General features: G+C 40.6%; 1 protein-coding gene across 3 annotated transcripts in view; it reads left to right on the forward strand.

Moving 5' to 3' along the window:
• FASTKD2 (FAST kinase domains 2) overlaps window positions 1–12,136 on the forward strand; it is a 30,584-nt gene extending 18,448 nt beyond the window's left edge. For all 3 annotated transcript variants that reach the window (NM_001136194.2, NM_001136193.2, NM_014929.4), the window contains exons 8-12: window positions 2,680–2,846; window positions 3,884–4,102; window positions 4,766–4,850; window positions 6,519–6,633; window positions 7,630–12,136. In NM_001136194.2, coding sequence (NP_001129666.1) covers window positions 2,680–2,846; window positions 3,884–4,102; window positions 4,766–4,850; window positions 6,519–6,633; window positions 7,630–7,749 — 706 coding nt within the window. In that variant the 3' untranslated portion in view covers window positions 7,750–12,136. The remainder of the gene's footprint in view (window positions 1–2,679; window positions 2,847–3,883; window positions 4,103–4,765; window positions 4,851–6,518; window positions 6,634–7,629) is intronic.

The raw sequence follows: 21,167 nt of genomic DNA on the forward strand, positions 1-21,167 counted from the left end.
CAACATTTCTCCAAAGGAGAAGTAGGGGCAATATGGCAGATATAGCAAGATTAATTAGTCACCATTTCCTGAATGCCCATGAATGTACAATTGCCTGGATTTGGTATTTTGAAGGCTATAAAAAAAGAAGTTTGTATTCCCTGCTCTTCCTAGACCATTTATGAGAACAACTCTGTTGTATATCCAGAGGAAGGCAGTACATGGTAGGCACCAAGTAAGTGCTTTATGGAGGAAGGAGAAAGGAAGATGGCAACTTATCTGGAGTAGCAAAGGTTTTGGAAGCAGAATAACTCAAAGTATTTGGGAAGAGAGTTGACTAGAAGAGATGGTTAGATAGGAGAGTGGTAGGAATTCTGGCTTATTGTATACCCACATGCTATACATTAATCATTATTTCATTTATGATGGCCCATCGGGGAGAGGGTGTTAAATCCAGAGTATCTTGCTGGGCTTTGAACCCAAGGAACAAATATGTAACGTTTAAGCTCTGTTGTTTTGGTCCTTTGGTTTCTTCTCTTCTTGATCTGTATTTACCACCTTATGGATAATCCCACATTTGCATCTGTGGTCATTAGTGTGCTCCTTAACTCCAGACCTGAGTCTCTGTGGGTTGCATATGGTCACTGCACATCCCAGAAGTGTCTCAAGTTCAGTAATTCTGGAAGTCAGCTATTTTTCTTGACTCATCGTTTTCCAATGACAAGCTCGTCCTCCTGTCTTCCTCATCAAAGTTTATTTGTTCGTTTAGTCAGCATTTGCCAAGCACCTGGACACTTAGGAGAAAGATGAATAAGACAGTCCTTCTTGCCAGAGGATTCTGTGTAATGGGTAAGGTAGATATGTAAATTGGCAGTTAAATATAGCATGAAAATTCGAGTGATCTAGCATATTAGTCTGTTTTCACGCAGCTGATAAAGACATACCCGAGACTGGGCACTTTACAAAAGAAAGAGGTTTAATGGACTCACAGTTCCACATGGCTGGGGAGGCCCCACAATCATGGCAGAAGATGAAAGGCACATCTCACAGGGCAGCAGACAAGAGAGACAGCCAAGCAAAAGGGGTTTCCCCTTATAAAACTATCAGATCTCGTGAGACTTATTGACTACCACAAGAAGAGTATGGGGGAAACCACCCCCATGATTCAGCTATCTACCACTGGGTCCCTCACAACACAAGGGAATTATAGGAGCTACAATTCAAAATGAGATTTGGGTGGGGACACAGCCAAACCATATCATCTAGGATATTTGGAAATAGAGGAAGGATATATCAGGATGCCAGCCTGGTGAAGAGGAGGGTCAGGGGATATCAGGCAGTGTTGCCTGGAGGGGTTGGTATCTGAGCTGATCTTAAAAGATGGAGAGATGGGGTTTTACCATGGAAAGATAAGCAGGAAAGAACATTCCAAGTGAAAGGCCCTCTATATGCAAGACCTGGAGGAAAGAAACAGCAGAGCACATGCAGGGAACAGCACACAGTTTGGGCTGCTGAAGCATGAGGTACAGGGTGAGGAGTGGGGCAAGAGAAGACCAGAGGGGGGATCATTACCCAGGCTCCCAACTTCCTTGTCCACACCATCCCCTGCCCCCGCATCCCACTGCATGTTCCAAAAGCAGTCAGTACTAATTTCAGACGTGCTGCCTTGCTATTGCGTATATGATCTGTTATATTCCTCCCATTTCATCATAATTCCTATCGTTTTCCTGGCCTTATCACAGCCCTTCATCCTCCCCAACACTTCTTCCCCTACCCATGGACCTCTCAGTTGATTTCAGTCTCATTGTTAACAAGGGCTTGTGTCCAGGCATATTTGCCCCAGCTGTTAAGAAACACTCCTCTGTACCTTCATCTCACCAGTTATTCACTATCAGGCAAGTAGCATGTGCTTTCAGGGCTGTGCTCAAATCTTCTTCCCTTATTCCATCTTTTCCACTTATTCAAATTCTCCTCCCAAAAGCTTCTGTTTATTTTCTTTCCTCTGCGAGATCACAGTACTTTGCATGTATTTCTTTTTTTATATAACTATATGTATCATATGCCCTGAGAATCAGATTGACGTGTGTTCAAAGGGTATCTACCATTTATTAGTGGTGTCACTCTGGGCAAGCGACTGCCCCTGATTTTGATCTTTTCTGTCTTCATTTGTGCTTAACCACGTTATACTGTGTACCATTAGCTGTGGGTGGTAGGATTAGGCTTGCAGTTCTTTTAACCCATAGTATTGATAACTAGATAATTTTAGTTGGTTATAAAACTGTAGTGGTGGTCCAGGCGTTATAGAAAATCTAGCATAATTATGAAAAGGTTCTGGAGCCTGACACCTTATGTTCTAATACTGCCTTTGCTACTTCCTTGTCTGTGTGTTCTTAGACAAGTTACTCAATCTCTAAGCCTGTTTACCCATTTTTTTAAATGAGGAGAATAATAGTAATACCCATGGAGTTTTTTAGTGTGAGTTAAATGAGTTAAAGTCTATAAAATGTTTGTCTCGTGCAAGACATACAGCAATAGCCAACATTTATTGAATGTATACACTTATTATGAGATAACCAACTGTCCAGAATGATGTGTGGATACTTACTTGCAAGGCTGATTTTCTTATCTCTTTTCTTTGGAATCGTTACAGATATTGGCCTTCTGTATATGTTGGGAAACTGACTTTTCTTTGTTCCCCAGACAGTTCGTGGAAGTTATGGCTAGTGCTCTGACTGGTTATCTTCACACTATTTCTTCTGAAAACTTATTGGATGCAGTATATTCATTTTGCTTGATGAATTACTTTCCCCTGGCTCCTTTTAATCAGCTTCTGCAAAAAGACATCATCAGTGAGCTGCTGACATCAGGTAGGATGTTAGTGCAGAATTGGTCACCAATTGTGACCAATTCTGCACTACCACTAGCTACCATATGACTCTGAATGGGGTCTTAGTTGGAGCAGTGTTAGTTGAAATTTGCAGAGCAGGTGTTGCTGTGGAAAGGGCTGATAATGGTGAAGTCAAAGGATAGTGCTTCAAAGCAGCAAACCTACAGACCCTTCTTTAATGACAAGTCCTACATGTAGAAAAAAATAAGGAATGCATCATTATTCCTTTTATTTATACTCTATCCTTCTATACAAAGGCTAACTGTTCAGGCTGTTCTTTATGCTTTGATCAGAGCTGTTTTAATTCCTAATCCTTACTTATCACATTTGAAGCCAACCTAAGTCAATTTTTGCAGCTGTAAACACTTGGTCACTCCTGGCCTGTGATGAGGGAACACCTGTTAGATCAAGAAACCAAATAGCCACCAAATTAATTAGTTCATTTACTCTTGGAACCAAATTAACTGTTGACTTTTAGTCTTTAGTATTAAATAAGGCAAAGCAATATTCAGGTAGATGTACAAAATTTGACGATGTGTCTGAGAATAGAGTAGTTCAGAATTAAAACATAAATAAATAAATGTTATAAAATCCCAAAGTTGAGTTGTAGAGAGTCAGTCAATAATACCACGTGCTGGTTTTTCAGGCAGTGTAATAATGGAGAAACAGCCTTGAACCTTGGAAACCTGGATTCTAGTTCCAACTTTGCCTTAATTACGAGGCTTTTTAACTTTCCTGGGCATTTCCTTATCCATAAATTGAGGAGTTTAGACTAAATGACCTCTAAAGATATTTGAAGCCTTAAAACATTATCAAGTGCAGGGCTTTGATTTAGACCCTGTGGAAACCAGGGAGACAAAGAGAGAGTCCTTGTGATAAGAAAGAGATAATTAGAAATACAAGTGCATTTATGTATATATTTATTATTTTATAACTATTACTAAATATATACTAATATAGTTTTTTAATGTTGCATTTATTTCTTCTTAATGATATACTCTCTTTTTCATCTTTTAGATGACATGAAGAATGCTTACAAGCTGCATACTTTGGATACTTGTCTAAAACTTGATGATACTGTCTATCTGAGGGACATAGCCTTGTCACTCCCACAGCTGCCGCGGGAGCTGCCATCGTCACATACAAATGCAAAGGTGGCAGAGGTGCTGAGCAGCCTTCTGGGAGGTGAAGGACACTTCTCAAAGGATGTGCACTTGCCACACAATTATCATATTGGTATGGGACATTATATGATTTCCTTTCATTTTATTGTATTTATTTTCCTTTTTTTCTGACCAAAAAAATAGGTATTTGTGGCAGCAGTTTAGTGTAGTGCAGCATTGCCTCTGGAACTGGCCTGATTCTTGCCTCATAAAATTCTTGTGACCAATAAATGAAATTCTACACATTTTTATGTGTCTAAAATCCCAAGACTAGTATCTGACACATGGTTAGCTCTCAATATATTTTAGCTACTGCTATTATCATTATTGGTAGTACTATTAAACATTTTGAAACAGAAAATCACTTGGGGCTGGTCACGGTGGCACACGCCTGTAATCCTAGCATGTGGAGAGGCCGAGGCAGGTGGATCACTGGAGCTCAGGAGTTCAAGACCAGCCTGACCAAATGGTAAAATCCTGTCTCTACCAAAAAAATACAAAACTTAGATGGGCGTGATGGCATGCCCCTGTAGTCCCAGCTACTCAACAGGGTGGGGTAAAAGGATTGCTTGAACCTGGGAAGTTGCTGCAGTGAGCTGAGATCACACTACTGCACTCCAGCCTGGATGACAGAGCGAGACCACATCTCAAAAAAAAAAAAAAAAAGGAAAAGAAAAGAAAAAGAAAGTCACTTGGAGGAATGTTTGAAAAATTAATATCAATTCTTTCCTTTCAGATTTTGAAATCAGAATGGACACTAACAGGAATCAAGTGCTACCACTTTCTGATGTGGATACAACTTCTGCTACAGATATTCAAAGGTTGCTTACATATATTTCATTTGCTGGGCTTTCTGAATTAAAATCCTAATTCTAAAAGACTTCATATTAAATAGCAGTAGTAAATCTAAGACTTGATGTTTGTATGGAGCCTGCAGCACACCAAGAGACTTGTCATCCATCAATGTACTCCTTAGAAAGTGTAAATGTGGACGTTATGGTTGAATACAATGGACTACAGTATTGGTCATTTAATGAGACAGACATTTTTTTAAAATTAGGTTTTGAAGCTATAGTTCAATAAAACAATATTAATATAATTGAAACTATCAATGCAGTGTAGACTTTGGACAAGATAATATAATAGTGATCATAAAGAATAAAGACTCGAGGCTTCTACAAAAATCAAATACCCAATAAATATTTTGCTCTACCACCAAGACTTTTCCAGAGGTAGAGAAACCGTAGTTTTTTAATTAAACTGTATTTGTATGGGTTAGAGCACATTGAAGCTAATCCTAAGTTGTTTCTTTGGCTCACACATTACAAATAGAGTGTCTCTGGGGAGAAATATGATGCTATACCATGAGAGAACATCCTGCCTCTTCAGTAGATGCATAAGATCATGCCATCATTGCACACACCCGTGGGTCAGTTACCCTTTATGTAAAAGCTCTGCTACATGGATCCTGACCCCAAGGAACTTGTATCTTCTGTTAACTCCACTGGACACACACACACACATAAATATGATAGAAACATACAAAAAAATCTGTAGGGATCCAAGCTCTTATCTGCCCATCCCTCTTCATTCACACACAGTTCTGTGACTTTCACCTCTTTCTGAATGCATCTAGCTTATTTCTTGGCCATCTTTTCAACCGCTGTCTTTCCTATTAGTGCTACCCATCTCCCCTCAGAAGAGGCTTTCTCTCTGACCTCATTCCAAGATCAGTTTTCTTTTTCGGGTACTCCGCTATTCTGGCATAATAAAATAACAGTTGTTCTCAGCATAAAGTCATGAGAAGTGAAGAATGTGAGCATTCCTTTAAAAACATAAAATTTGTCTTATAACAGCCAGAGTATAGGTGAAGGCAGTAAGGATATAAATGTCTTTTTTTTTTCTTTTTTTCTCCCAGTAAACTTAGTATTTCCAAAGTGCCAGGAACAATGAAAAAACAAATTACACCTTCCACATTTTCGTTATATTTACAGATTTTATTTTAACAGTCTTGCCTTTCTCTTGGTGTTTTCTTTCTTGTATTTAAACTCCTATTTCTGTTTTTTAAATGCTGCTTTCTCTGGGAGATGATATGTGTAAGAAGAGCATTTACTATTTGGTATTATTTACACCGTTACTACTACTGGTAGAATAAATAATTATACTCAGATCAGAAATCAGCACTACACAGAAAACCCTTAAAATTGGTGCTTTCATGTCTGAAAATTTTCCTCTTCAAAAATGTAGCCATCCTTAAAGGGAACTGAGAGGTAACTGTGTATAATGTTGTATATTTTTGATTTATAAAGTAGCCTTGTATAGTGGAATATCTGCAGAGGCCAAGTAAAAGAAGTGAAGGACTAAGACAGGAATATCAAGGATTGTGGTCGGTGGAGAGCTCAACTTGGAAATCTCCAGAGAACAAGAATGCAGCAAGACTAAATAGTAATATCAATAACTGTTCTTGTTTTGTTTATTTTTGTTTTCAGAGTAGCTGTGCTATGTGTTTCCAGATCTGCTTATTGTTTGGGTTCAAGCCACCCCAGAGGATTCCTTGCTATGAAAATGCGGCATTTGAATGCAATGGGTTTTCATGTGATCTTGGTGAGAAAAAAATGCAAATGAAATATTCTTTAATTACTGATGTACATTCTAACAGCTGCCAGGAATCTTGTGGTTGAGACTGGTTACTAGGACTAGAGGAATTGTCAGCATTATTGGAATGAGTGCTTTAGTTACTGTTTTCTTTGAAAAAGAACATTGCTAGTACACGATTTGGGTTCTGCTCAGCTGATTACTGTCATTACTAGAGCTTTTACAAATGTTGTTCTGGTCAGCTTTAATCCTTTTTTGCTAAGAAGAAGAATGCAAATAATATATTTTCATATTTAAGATACACAAAACCATATTTAATTTCCAGGTTATCTTGAACAAGGGAAGGAAAGATGTTAAAGCTTTGTTTTCATGGCCTGTGTGAAGCTGTTACAGGATGTTTGTTGCCAGAAAAGGCTGGATGGTTTTAAGAAGATGGGTCTTTCTCTTCCCTCTTATGCTTCAATTTTATTTTGTACCCCACAGCTTCTCTTGAACAGCCTCTTCTGATGTTTCTAGGTAGTAGGAACCTTACAAATACATTTATATATATGTTGCTGTTGGAATCTATCTAAATGCCACTCATTTGGTCCTGCGCATAATGTAAGATGTAAACATTCCAAGTCTTCTATTATTATACTTTAGTATTGGAAATGGATTACGTGTGGACTATTGAGATTAAGATGACTCCTTTCTCTTAGTGGGCTACTATTTAAGACTTTGTTTTTTATATTGCTGATTATATATATTCTAAGGAAGATTTTCTCAAGAAAGCAGTTTTTGCACCATTTAGAGGACCTTTAAAATTTGTATAATTTTCACAGTTAAAGCTTTCTTAAACCCTAGCATGTAGTCTTATTATGCCTTTAAAATATGAGTAGTTATAAGGTCACATTTGCTTTCAAAAAGCTATTGTCCTCATGTTACTTTACTATGTTTGGATCTCTAAACTAGCTCTTTTGTTAGTATCGTCTCACAAACTGATTATTTTCCTCTTTCTTTGGTAAGGTCAATAACTGGGAGATGGACAAACTAGAGATGGAAGATGCAGTCACATTTTTGAAGACTAAAATCTATTCAGTAGAAGCTCTTCCTGTTGCTGCTGTAAATGTGCAAAGCACACAATAAAGTGAAAATCAACCTTTTCATATTAGGAGACATGCATTTGTAAAAATTAATAAAGATGACAAGTCAGTTGTCAATGGAATTGAGCTATCTGCTAAGACAAAAAATGTTACCTCAGTTCACTATTAAAATTAATTTTAGGAGTGGAAGAAATGTTGTTACTGCCATTTAAAAATATGCTGAGAAAATTCCAGAAGGGTTATTTTTCCAACCACACCTATTCCCTCTAGTGCCCAGATATTTGATTTGTGAGCTGTACGTTTCACCTTTTCATCTTTGATCTACTAAAAACTGGTTTCTTAGTTGTGAGGTGTCACAGGCAGGTTGATGTGGGTAGTAGTCCTTGTCTTTGGAATCTGAATATTTATACTCCTGCTCTAAGCTGTTCTAAGACTTGGGGTTATGCCTTTAAATCATTTTCAAGCATTGGCCAAATAATAATTGGACAAAGTTCTAAAGTTGTCAAGTGTGTAAGAATTAGTGAGGTAGCTGTTGAAAATGAGTGAGGATGGTATTTGTATTTGTAATAAGCACTGCAGGTAGAGATATTTCATGGGTTATAATAAGAGAAACACAGATGAGATGTAGATGGTAAGGAGTCTTACTGTTGTTGGGGTCCTTCCTTTCTCTTTCTTTTTTCCCCCTTACCCCTCCCACAATTTCATGAAGTCTTTTAAATTAAATATATAGCTGAATTGTGTTGTGAATCAGACCTGAGGACTATTTTTTCGATTATGTGTGTTCATTCTTTGTTCAAATATTTGTCCAAATTCAACTATTTTGTTCAATATGCCTGTCTACCTAGTATTTGGCTCGCTGGGGATATAGTGATGAATAGGCATGGTCTCTTGTGGAACTTACAGCATGGGTTCCATGCAAGTTGGTGTTATTCTGCCCCCAAGCACACAGACATGCAATTACTAGACATCTTAGTATGTGCCGGGCACTGCTAAGTATTCATTTGTGTGCTGCCTTTTCATGATCTGAACCCTTTGAGGTGTAGCTGCTATTATGATTCTCTCTGTGTCTTCACTTCCTCATCTCTAAAATCAGGATAGGTATTTGCCCAAGGCTACACAGAGTAGGGGAGGGCTGGAGTTTGAATGTGAGCTAACATAGGCTTATAAGAAAATACAAAAACTGGGCTGGGCACGGTGGCTCGTGCTTGTCATCCCAGCACTTGGGAGGCCGAGGTGGGCTGATCATGAGGTCAGGAGGTCAAGACAATCCTGGCCAACACGGTGAAACCCCATCTCTACTAAAATACAAAAAATTAGCCGGGCATGGTGGTGCATGCCTATAATCCCAGCTACTGGGGAGGCTGAGGCAGGGGAATCGCTTGAACCCGGGAGGTGGAGATTGCAGTGAGCCAAGATGGTCCTGCTGCACTCCAGCCTGACCACAGAGCGAGACTCTGTCTCAAAAAAAAAAAAAAAAAAAAAAAAAAAAAAATACAAAAACTATAGCAATATGACAACAGCTGCCAGGTTGTATCAATTTATCCAGCTTGCATTTAGAAAAGGTTAGAGCTGAAAGGAAATTTAGTGATTATTTAATTGTTACTTCCCTCATTTTATGGACGAGGAAGATAAGGCTCAAAGAATTTTCCTTTCCTGAAGTCTCAGCTATGCCATTGGTTCCACATCATTTCATCCTCACCTGCTCTTCAGCTTGTGTCCCAGGAGATCAGGCTTCTGGTTCCAGATTGGACAACCTCTAGTTTTGTATACTTGGCCAAGTGATTTAACCTTATAAGCTTCAGAACAAGATGCAGATATTCTGTTATTAAAGGAACTAAGGTTTTGTCTTTAAATGTTGAGTGTGCATCAGTTTTGAGTGTCTAATTATGACTCCTCTTCAAAGGATTTGACAAATTTGTGAATATTTATGACCACCTTTTAGGGTAGTAATTTTCAGTTTGTACTAGTTAACCTGGCAGATAAAAAGGCATCCCTCTTTTACTAGCATTCTAGTGTTAGCATTCTTCATTGCTTTGTGTCAATGAAAGAAAAATGGGCAAAGAGCTGATGAACATGAAAAAAGTTCAGTCTACTTGTAAAGACATGCACATTGAAACAGAAGAGATGGTTTTGCCTTTCAAATTAGCAGTTTTTTTTCTTTTAAGAATTACAGTGCTGATGAAGGTATAATGAGGCAAGCACTTGCATAAGCTGTTGGTAGACTGTAAATTAATACCTTTCTGGAATGTACTTTGTGGGGTTTTCTTCTCCCATAATTTAAAAAATAGCTTTATTATAGTATAATTGACATACAGTAAACTGCATATATTTAAAGTGTACCGTTAGGTCAGTTTTGACGTACATACACACACACACACATCTGTGAAACCACAATCAAGATAATGAATATATCTATCACCTCTAAAAGGTTCCTGTCTTTGCTTTTTTCTCTGTCCCCTAAACAACCACTGATCTATGGCACACATAGAAAAAAATTAGGAAATATATTAAATGCTCATTTTGTGTGAGATATCCAAATATTTTTTTCAGAATCCCTAATGAAAAGGTTGATCTTGCTCTAGATACAAGATATAAAATTGTATTCTTGAAATAGCTACATGCAATTCTTTTTTATTATTTTTTAATTTTAATTTTTAGATTTTTAAAGATGGGGCCCTGCTATGTTACCCAGGCTAGCTTCAAACTCCTGGGCTCAAGGGATCCTCCTGCCTCAGCTTCTCAAGTAGATAGGACTGATTATAGGTACAGGCTACTGTGCCCAGCTCAATTCTTGATTGAGACATTTACCAGCTCTCCGAATTCTCAGTAGTTACCACTGAATAGAAACTTTCTTTACACAAAGCTGATTAAACAGTTTAGAACTTTTAAAAAACATTCAAAAATTGAAAATTTCATATATACATAGCCTAACAACTCTTCTTGTCATTGACAAAATGTGATGGTATTTTTTTTGTGATAATACACATGGACCTCAAATGCAATTGAACTATTCATATCAAGTATTTCCAAATAACAATGACATTCCAATTTATAGAATGTCATGTGTTGTGAGGGTAGTCACCCTGCAACTGGCTTGGACATCTCTAAGCAAATAGAAGTTTCTGTAAGATAGAGATTTGGGGCATCTACTTGGAACTACCTATGAGGAGCTGGCATTCCTCAAATCCCAACTGACTGCACTTTTCCATGAAATTACCCAGCAGTTATGATGGTCAGTGGCTCACTCAGCAGCAAGCCACTTAGGTAGCTGGCGAGGGACGTGGCACAGCCTTGTCTTCACACAGCACATCACAGCCAGGCAGCAAAGGACAGATCTCTCTCATACTCTTCATTCACAGGGCCTGAGAGGTGGACCATCAGACTCCACCCTGTTTTGCGCTGACTTGTAGGGAGACCTAGGTGTGGAGCTTCCTGGCCAGGAGGGCAGTGGCTGCCCAGAAGGCAGGAGATGGCTATCTCTTTTTTTTTCCTGAGACGGAGTCGTGGTCTGTCGCCCAGGCTGGAGTGCTGTGGCGTGATCTCAGCTCACTGCAAGCTCCGCCTCCTGGGTTCAAGCCATTCTCCTGCCTCAGCCTCCCGAGTAGCTGGGACTACAGGTGCCCACCTCCATGCCCGGCTAATTTTTGTATTTTTAGCAGAAACAGGGTTTCACCATGTTAGCCAGGATGGTCTCGATCTCCTGACCTTGCGATCTGCCCGCCTTTGGCCTTCCAAAGTGCTGGGATTATAGGCGTGAGCCACCACCCCCGGTCCAAGATGGCTATCTCTTAACACACTTGTAACCCATTTGTGCACACAGGTGTGCCGTGACTCACTGGTGGATCCAAAAAAAGCTGAAGCCTACATTTCCCAGAGCCCCTTTCAGCTTGAATTCCAAATGTGACTTAGCTTCCTCTATGCAGATGTACCTACTTGAAACTGGGAAGGCCAAATGAGATAGAGGTAATGTTTCTGCCAACAAACAGCCACAGAGCATTTTATTTTTCTAGAAGAGCAATAACAGAGACCCCAGGGTGTGGTGTGGCAGGACGAGGAGCATCCATTTTGCTGGTGGGGATTGTGGCTAAAATAATGTGGCTCTGGAGCCAGCAATGGGCAGCATCTTCATGACTTTCCAGCTTCCAGGCTGTAAGCAGAGATAGCATCTCTTCTGGACAGCCAGTTATGTGATAGTGTTCTGAGAGTCATTCCTGGAAGTCAGACTAAAGGCTGCTCCTTCAGCCTTTCCATTCATCTTGTAAGCAGGAGGCTTCTGTGCATGGCCAGAAACTAACAAAAGCACATTGTGTCTAAACTAGGTTGCAGTGGTTTCTGTTATCAGCAAGTAAATCCTGATTGATAAAGATACTACAATATATGCACATATATATGTTATAGAATCAATAAAAATTGGATACTTTGCTTTAAAAGTTTGTGAATTTTGCTTTTAAAGAATTTCCCTCAGGGCCGGGCACAGTGGCTCACACCTGTAATCCCAGCACTTTGGGAAGCCAAGGCAGAAGGATCGTTTGAGCCCAGGAGTTTGAGACCAGCCTGGCAACATGGCAAAACCCCACCTGTACAAAAAATAGAAAAATTAACTGGGTGTGGTGGCATGCACCTGTGGTCCCAACTACTCAGAAAGCTGGGGTGGGAGGATCGCCTGAGCCTAGGAGGTCGAAGCTGCAGTGGGCCAAGATTGTGCCACCGCACTCCAACCTGGATATCAGAGTGAAACCATGTCTCAAAAAAGAAAAAAGAATTTAAAAAGAATTTCACTCAGGGTTACAGACACTTAATGTTATTAAGACCCACTAGGAACACCTGTGTATACTGCTGGCTGGTTTTACATGTCACCCCACCCTGAGCAGGTTTCTCTAGGCAGCAATAAAGCTTCTGAGGCAGAGGAAGGGAGAAACCAACACACCTGCCTTTATTTTCCATTTGTTCTCCTTGCATCCAGTTTTCACCACACTTCCCCATGCTTTCACTACAGTTCTGCCAGGCTCCTCTCAGGCAATCTCTTTACACCAGGGGCCACATAATCCTAAAGAGGGAAGGGAAGATAGCATCAAACTTTCACCCAATTATTTCAGGCAATCCATCTCCTTCCCTCCTCCTTGCTTGCTTGCTTCCTTGCTTAAAAAATGCAGAATAGGCCGGGCACGGTGGCTTACACCTGTAATCCCAGCACTTTGGGAGGCCGAGGCGGGCGGATCACGAGGTCAGGAGATGAAGACCATCCTGGCTAACATGGTGAAACCCCGTCTCTACTAAAAATACAAAAAATTAGCTGGGCGTGGTGGCGGGTGCCTGTTGTCCCAGCTACTTGGGAGGCTGAGGCAGGAGAATGGTGTGAACCTGGGAGGTGGAGCTTGCAGTGAGTCGAGATCATGCCACTGCACTCTAGCCTGGACGACAGAGTGAGATTCTGTCTCAAAAAATAAATAAATAAGAAAGACATGAAATATATTAAATATATAAATGAGCTTTCACCTCGTCATAACTTTTAAGTTAAATTAGACAAAGAGCCAATGCTATTCTATTCGAGAACCTTTGAAGTGCTCAGATGCTGCTTACACTCATCAGAAAAATACTCCATCTTATTAAATGTGAGGCCTGAAGAAAACCTAGTGTTAAAGAAAATCAATTAAAGATAAATAAAACAGAGGGGCAAAGCCCCGTTCACCAGCTTGGGTTCAGATGAAGCTCCCCCGACAGCCACTACTCCTGTGCTGTTGCAGGCTATTGTAACGGGGGTTCCACGTCATCCAGGCCACAGGCCAAGCCTTGGATGCACCTGCTCTTTGCCCAGCTGCCCCAGGGCAGAGCTCTGCACAGATCACAGTGCCTTAAGACAGGATGATAACACCCCTCAGTGTTTTCCTTAGAGTGCTCCATGCACCACAGCCATTTTTCAAAGCATCCCCCAGGCCAGGGTTAAGGCAGAACAGGTTTTCCAGTCATAGCCTCCCACTTAGCTGAGTAACATTTCTTGAGTGATCTTGTAAATGAATAGTTTGAAAGAAAAACAGGCAACTAAGGCAGTGCGGTCACATTGTTTGAGAATACAGATGCAAAATTACTTGTGAATTTACTTGCTCATTTTTCCAAAGGATGTAATCTGTACACTTAGAAGTATTTCACTCACATGGGGCTCTTTGTAGCAACACAAACCGAACAAGCTATTTCTGAAACTCATATTTAACTGTGATTTGATATCATCTTGATTTTCTTAATTTTTTTTAAAATTGTGATAAAATACACAACATAATATTTACCATCTTAACCATTTTTAAATGTACAGTTCAGTGGCAGTGAGTACATTCACATTGTTATATAACAATCACTACCCTCCAGCTCCAGAATCTTTTCAACTTGCAAAACGGAAATACTGACACATTAAACAGTAACTCCCATTTCCCCTTTCCCCCAGTGCCTGGCAACCACCATTTACTTTCTGTCTCTATGAATTTTACTACTCTAGACACCTTATAGAGTGGAATTGCTCAGTATTATTCTTTACTGACTGGCTTCTTTCACTTAGCGTAGTGTTTTCTGGCTCATCCGTGTCATGGCATGTGGCAGTATTTCTTTCGCCCGGGCACTTTGGGAGGCTAAGATGGAGAGGCTGAGAGTTGAAGACCAGCCTGGGTAACATTGCAAGACCCCCATCTCTACAAGAAAATTAAAAAGGCTTGAGCCCAGGAGATTGAGCCTGCAGTGAGCCATGATCATGCCCCTGCACTCCAGCCTGGGGAAAGAATGATACCCTGTCTCAAAGAAAAAAAAAAGAATTTCCTTCCTTTTAAAAAGATGGAATTATATTCTATTGTATGTATATACCACATTTTGTTTATCTGCAGATGGGCCCTTGGATTGTTTCTACCTTTTGTATCAGTGTGTGTGTGTGTGTGTGTGTGTGTGTGTGTGTGTGTGTGTGTGTGTGTATTTCTAGAAACTTGTTATTCTCCTGAGTGTTAAACTGTTTTAAATGTTTGGTTTTTCATTTCTAGAACATTTTCCTATCCTAAAATTTACCTATCTGGCTATCTATCATCTATCACTTTTCCTAAGGATCTTTAGTTGTTTACTTTTTAATGAAGTATAATATACGTTATGATAGTGTATTTTATGTATCCTCATATCCTTTCACTGTGGATTTAATTTTTAGAAATAACAAAAAGTCACATAGGGCAAATTCATTAAGCTGAGTGGGTGATTAAGTTAACAATAGTAATGACCATGTATTAAGTGCCTACTATGTGCCAGGCACTGTGCTAGCATTTCACACCCATTATATCATTCAGTCTTCACACCCCTGTTTGGTGGTTATTAATGATTACTAATATTCATTTTATAGATGAATAAACTGATACTCAAGGCCTTAATTGCCTTTCCTAGGGGTGCACAACTAGAAAAAAGGCAGAGCCAGATCTGCACCCAAGTCCTTCTGACCCCAGAGCTCATGCTTGTATCATCGCACCAGTGTTACTCAAGCTTTCCTGGTGATTACAGTCACATGTACTTGACAAAACCACAAACTGTTGGGCCTGTCCCAGTGATACTGAATCGAAATTTACTGAGGAGGGACCTGGGAGATTACACTGCTTGAACAGCATGGTACCGGGGAACCAGAGATCAACTTCAACCCTTCTGTTAGCTCTTAGTGGGCTGGTCAGCTGGATGTAGAAGCTAAATTGACAGCAGGCAGATTAACAAGAGAAAAATGTATAAATTTTACTAGTTTTACATGTACTTGGGGATCTTCACAAGAAAGTGAAGTCTGAACAAGAGGCCAAAGTAAGATATTCTTATACTTTTTAGACAAAGAATGATAAATTTGAGAAGAAACAACAGGAGAAAGAAAATCTGGCTAGGACAGTAAAATTTTCTAGGGGAGTCACAGGAGATATATGAGGGGGTGTAAAGCAAGTGGAAGATAAAGGTTATTTTGTTCGTAAGTTTGTTTATTCGGGTTCCTTGCAGCCTCCAAGTCTCTGGTGATAAGGGCTATTTTCTCATCCTGGTATGGATAAATCTCAGGGCCTTCGAAGAGTATCCGTCCCAGAGGATTCTTTATCCCTTGCTCCATACAGGAAGATATAGATCAGCTCTTCCTTTCTGAAACTAGAATTTCTCCATTGTTTTCCATTAGAAATAATCAACATACAAATTTTGGGATGGCACATCCTTCAGTCCTCCAATGGTATCTACCATATTTTTTTCAAACATATAACATACTTTAAGGTAATGAGATTAGGTCGTGCAGCTCACAAATAGCTCTGAAGGCAGTTCCTATAGCAGAGACTCAATTGTTATGAGCATTAGCTATTGGCATGACAGAATAGGCTTCAAAGTGACTTCTTTGAAGGACAAGATTTATTTGAATGTTCTGCTTTAGAATCATTAAAATGAGCACCCTCACTGCCATGTTGGCTCTACGCACAGTAAGATTAGAGAGACAGCGTTTTACAGTGAAAAGAGTAAGTCAACCCTGGTTTGGGATCTGGATAAATTGCTTAACTTCTCAGAGCCTTAGTTTCTTCATCTGTAAAATGGATTACTACCCAATTTGAAGGACTATTGTATACATTAGAAATAACTATATATGCCTTGTCATGTAGTAGATGCTTATAGCAGTTCTTATAATAATAAAGCGAAGTCCCCGTGGTGTATTGTAAATGTGAACCACACTCCTCAGCAGTGATCCTTGTGTGCTAAGCTAGTGGACCAGAGTTTCCAGCTGAAGTAGATCTGGAACCGAGTCTTGAAAAATGTGTGTAGAGAAGCTTCTGTACTTTTCTTATGTGGATGGCAGTGGCGAGGGGGCGGTGGCGGGTGCAGCTGCAATACTTAAAAAGGAATTCTATTGTGGCAATAAATGAATATGGCAAGAAATGAGCCTGGCAAGAAATGAATGACAATGGCCCCTAGGTGGTGCTGAATCATCATGGAAGTGGAGGCTGGACACTTGGCATTTGCGGAGGTGACTTCCTTCTGGTTTGAATTTCAAATAAGAGCAGGACAGCTCCTTGGGATGTCTGGGAAAAAAGACCAGGCAGAAAAGAGTCTTTTCACTAGGAGCGGGTGCAAAATACTCTTGCCTGTGAGGCCTCTTCAGGTCTTCGGTTTGCTTTAGTTGGAAACAGGAAGCAGGGTCAGACCAACTTGTATTCATTTGCTGAGAGCTGTTGGAGCTGTGACTGATTCTGACAGATCAAATACCATTTATAACACTCCTGTGGGGGACACTTTAACCGGGGATGTTAGTGCTAGCCCCTCCAGAGACTAAGTATGTTTGCGGGATGTGAGGACCCCTGGAATATACAAATATGCATGCTAATGAATTTTAACAAAAATAACCCATTATTGTTTTCTGTGCAACACTGTGCATTTCTCAGCTACACCTGTCCTTTCCAACCTCAATTGCTGGGCAACCTATTTTTCTTTCGGCATCAGAAGCGATAGCATCTGGGAAGTGAATCTGATGAATTCTGCCTGGCAACCAACATCTTTCCAACTGCCAGATCCTGGGGTAAGAAACTGAGATGCTCTGGAGCTGGTTCAGGGCCAGAACGCACCTGTCCTTGAGGGCCTGGTGATGGGGGAAGGAGGCTGGCCAAATGCAGAACTTCTGAAAGTCCACTTCCTGAGTTCATTTCCATTTTGGCAAAATGTGACTTAGGTTTCCAAGGGAAGGAGTTTACATGTATTAAAATGTCTCAGTGGCTGAAGTTGCTTTGTGTCCTCCGCTAAAGCCTCCTACCATCGATTCCCATCTCCAACACGTTTTCAACTGTGGTGTTTTGGGAAGGTAACCATAGCAACTAATCTTATTCAGAAATGACTGGACCTAGGCAGTAAACGGCAAGGTAACCCCATGGTAATTTTCAGTGGAAACCCAATATTGATTCTAACAATTGTACAGGCTGAGCACTGTTAGCTATTTACTAAGCACTGTTCTCCTTTAAGACATTTGATTCTCACAACCCTGTGAGGTAGTCATCATTATCCTCTCTAACACTCGAGAGTTGGCCCATGGTTGTGCAGCTAATTAAATCTGCTGGACCCTGAAATCAGCTTTTTTCTCTTATACAGACTCTGCCTTCTAAGGAAAACTGGAGAGACGCCTTCCGGTGTCTATTTTGCAGGTAGTAAAAGTGAGTCACAGAATCATGGAAATTGTTCAAGGCAACAGCAGAGCTGCAGATCCTCTGCCCTAATCCCAATAATGCCTTTCTGTTATATGTAGAGCTTTAGAGCTCTCAAGATTATCTCATCTATTGCTCACAGCGGGTCTTTGTGATGATTATATCTATTTATAGATGAGAAAATTGAGACATGAAAAGGTTAAATGGCATTTCTCAAGGTCACCAATTACTATATTGAAGAACAAGAAATAAAATCCGTTTCTAATTCTCTGCTGCCTTACTAGATGTGGTGCTTTAAAAATATTTCATCCACTTATCTGTTTCAGAATGTATCAGATACATTAGGTACCATATATTATGTGTGGTTGACAAGATTTTCAGGATTAACTTTAATTCACCAGAGATAAACTTTATATCTAATGAGATCATCTTTATGGAAATACTGTTTATGAGTATAAATGTTTTTATGTGAGAATTATATATTCTAATGAATCTTTAAAAATCCATACTTCATGTGCTATAGATGCAAAATCATAAATTTATCTCTGTAAATTGCCTAAGATGATGGTAGAGAAGGGTGTTATGCTTAAAATTTTTAGCGCTGTAAAAGCTACAATAGTCTCAAGAGAAAAATGGTCAGTAATCTTTAACAGAGCCACCTGCCATGCATGGGGCCCAGTGTATGGAGAGGAAGGGTGGGGGCATAACCCCAATCCCACAGGGTATGTTCGGTGGCTTAGATTTGTTCACTCAGTGGGGTAGAGGCACAACTCATGAAGTGACACCCAGAAGCCTGGACTCCAAGTTCCTTTGAGAGCTTGATGTAGACCCTTCAAACATTGGTCGGGGGTGGGAGTGCGAGGTGAGAGTAGGAGGTGTGGGAAGGTGACTGGAGATAGAAGCCTGACTCTTGCCTGGAAAAGCCCAAAGGCAGAAGGCTGCCTGGAGCTGCTGCTGATGGCAGAGCAAAAACAGGTGGCTGTAAGAAGGCTTTTGGCTTCCAAGTTTTGCAGGGGAGAAGGGATGGCATGGATGCATAATATTTCCTGTGGATTAAACGAATGCTGAAGAAACTAGCAGGCTTGAGTCATCCTGAAAGGCACCTGTCCTAGAGGACGTCCTGCCAAAGCTCAGAAATCTCAGCAAAAAGAGGCTGTATGGGGTCTTCACAGTCAGCCTGAGAGTGCCTTGTGGGGGTCAGGTCAGGGAATGCTGTGGTGTAAGAAAGACACGCCATGGAAAGAGAGGTGGGAGTAGGGGTGTCTCTTAAGAACCCACAAAAGTCACTCATGTGAGGAGGAGCCAGCACTTGAGCATCTAGCACACAAAGGGCATCCTCGCAGACTGCAAGGTCACCAGTGAATAGACCCATTTACCTCTAGTCCCTCCTCCCCACCTGGCCCTGGAGATGCCAGAGGCAGCACAGTGAGCGGGGCAGGAGGAGCAGAAAACAGAGCAAGGGGGGCAAACAGCAAAAGAAGATTCCACAGCCTCCTCCCCCTGCTGCTCATTACTGAGCTGGAAGAAAGGAAGGAATCTTAGATTGGGTGAGAGCTGCATATTTTGAGAATAGATCAGGTGATGAGCTTTTTAATACCTTAAAATGAGGCTCTGCTAATAGCCATGTGCAACCAAAAATACTCTGGCATATGCCGGAGATGGCCTCTCTGAGGTGGGAAGGGAGAGCTGGCAGAGCCAGTGTGATGGGCAAGGGAGGGAAGAAGATGGAGCTGTTTCCAGCCTGCTGGAGCTACTGACCCAGCCTGTTCAATAAACTAGTGTCCCCTAGTAAGAGCCTTCCAAGTTAATCGAATGAACCCCTGGATTTCTTCTTGCTCTGTCACCCCCAGCAGTGAGGCTCACTCTAGAGTTTAGATCCTGCGTGTTCTTTTTCTTTTAACATCTGGTAGAAAAAGCACCCCCTGGCCTCTTCCACTTGGTTTCACATTTTCACTTTAGAGTTATCACCAAGTAGAAAAGCCACTTTTCCCTAAACTGCAGGCAAGAGCTGCAAACTCCCTCTAGGTGACTTTGTTGGGCCTTCAGAAGGTTAGAATCTGAAGGGAGTAAACATTACAATTAGGAAAAATTATCTCTTACAATAAAACATCCTCTCATACTGTCTGTAATAGCATATAATGTTACATGGGCCCGAACAATATGTATTCATCTGCAATTATTTATGCTCACCAGGGAAAAATTATTTGTTTATTGTTTTAATCATGATTAACCAGCAGTGTAATGATAGGGTGATAATGATAACAACGTGAAGAATGAAATGTTTGAGGTGCAAATGGAAGGCAAGATGCTAACCCTAGATGCTGAAAGTTTCTGGTAGAGCACAGAGGCAGGAAGTCTATTCTTTAGTGGTGTGTGTGTGTGTGTGTGTGTGTGTGTGTGTGTGTGTGTGTGTGTGTGTGTGGTGTGTGTTGGGGGAAACGCATGGTATAGGGGGTACATTTATCCTGAACAAGGACGAGATAGGAGTGGCCCAGTGCTCTTCTGACTTCCAAAGCCTGCTTTGCATTCAAGTTCAGGAGCTTAGGGCTCTCAAAGACTTCTTTTTCCTTCCATTCCTCCCACAGAATGAGAACAAATCCTGGTTAGAGCTACAGGGATCTTCCCAGCTTGTGAAAATTCCCATGTAATTGTTTCTGAGAGGCTGTCTTTCTTTCTCAGAAGTTCCAGAGAATTCCAGCTTCCCAAGGGCTGACCTTGAGTCATCCACACACCCGTTTTCCACCTTCTCAGCTCTGGAACAGGGTTTGGTTCCGTGGCTTATGACTTTCCCAAGGTTTCTGAGCTCGGTCCAGCAAGTAAAATATGTATCCCCTTCACTTAAGGAAGCAAAATTTTGTGGGCAAATTCTCAATCATGGCAAATCTTCATCTTTTGTATCTGGCTTTGGTTTAAACAAATGGTTAAAAGTACCTCCCAGCTAGCTTTGGTGAATGAAGTTGATAAAACTAAGTTACATTCCTTTTGATTAAATATAGGCATGAAGAGTTAATTTTTCTCTTCAGATAAGAACTAACTCAGAAGGCAGTTCCAGAAGAAAAGTGCATCCAAATATTTTGAACAATGACAGCATCATGGGAATAAGTGTACGGCATGTCTCCCGGGAAGAGTATTTGAAGCCCAAACCAACAGATACCACATAAAATACAACAATAGCCACTATCTTTTAAGCATTTTCCTCAAAGGTTGATTAAATGAAACACTTCAACTTTGGGGTAAGTATTATTAATGCCCACTTTATAGATGAAAAAATTCAGACTTAGACTTATCAGCCATGTGGCTTTGAGCA

Source organism: Homo sapiens, chromosome 2, assembly GCF_000001405.40.
Source record: "Homo sapiens chromosome 2, GRCh38.p14 Primary Assembly".
In the NCBI taxonomy this organism is placed as follows: domain Eukaryota; kingdom Metazoa; phylum Chordata; class Mammalia; order Primates; family Hominidae; genus Homo; species Homo sapiens.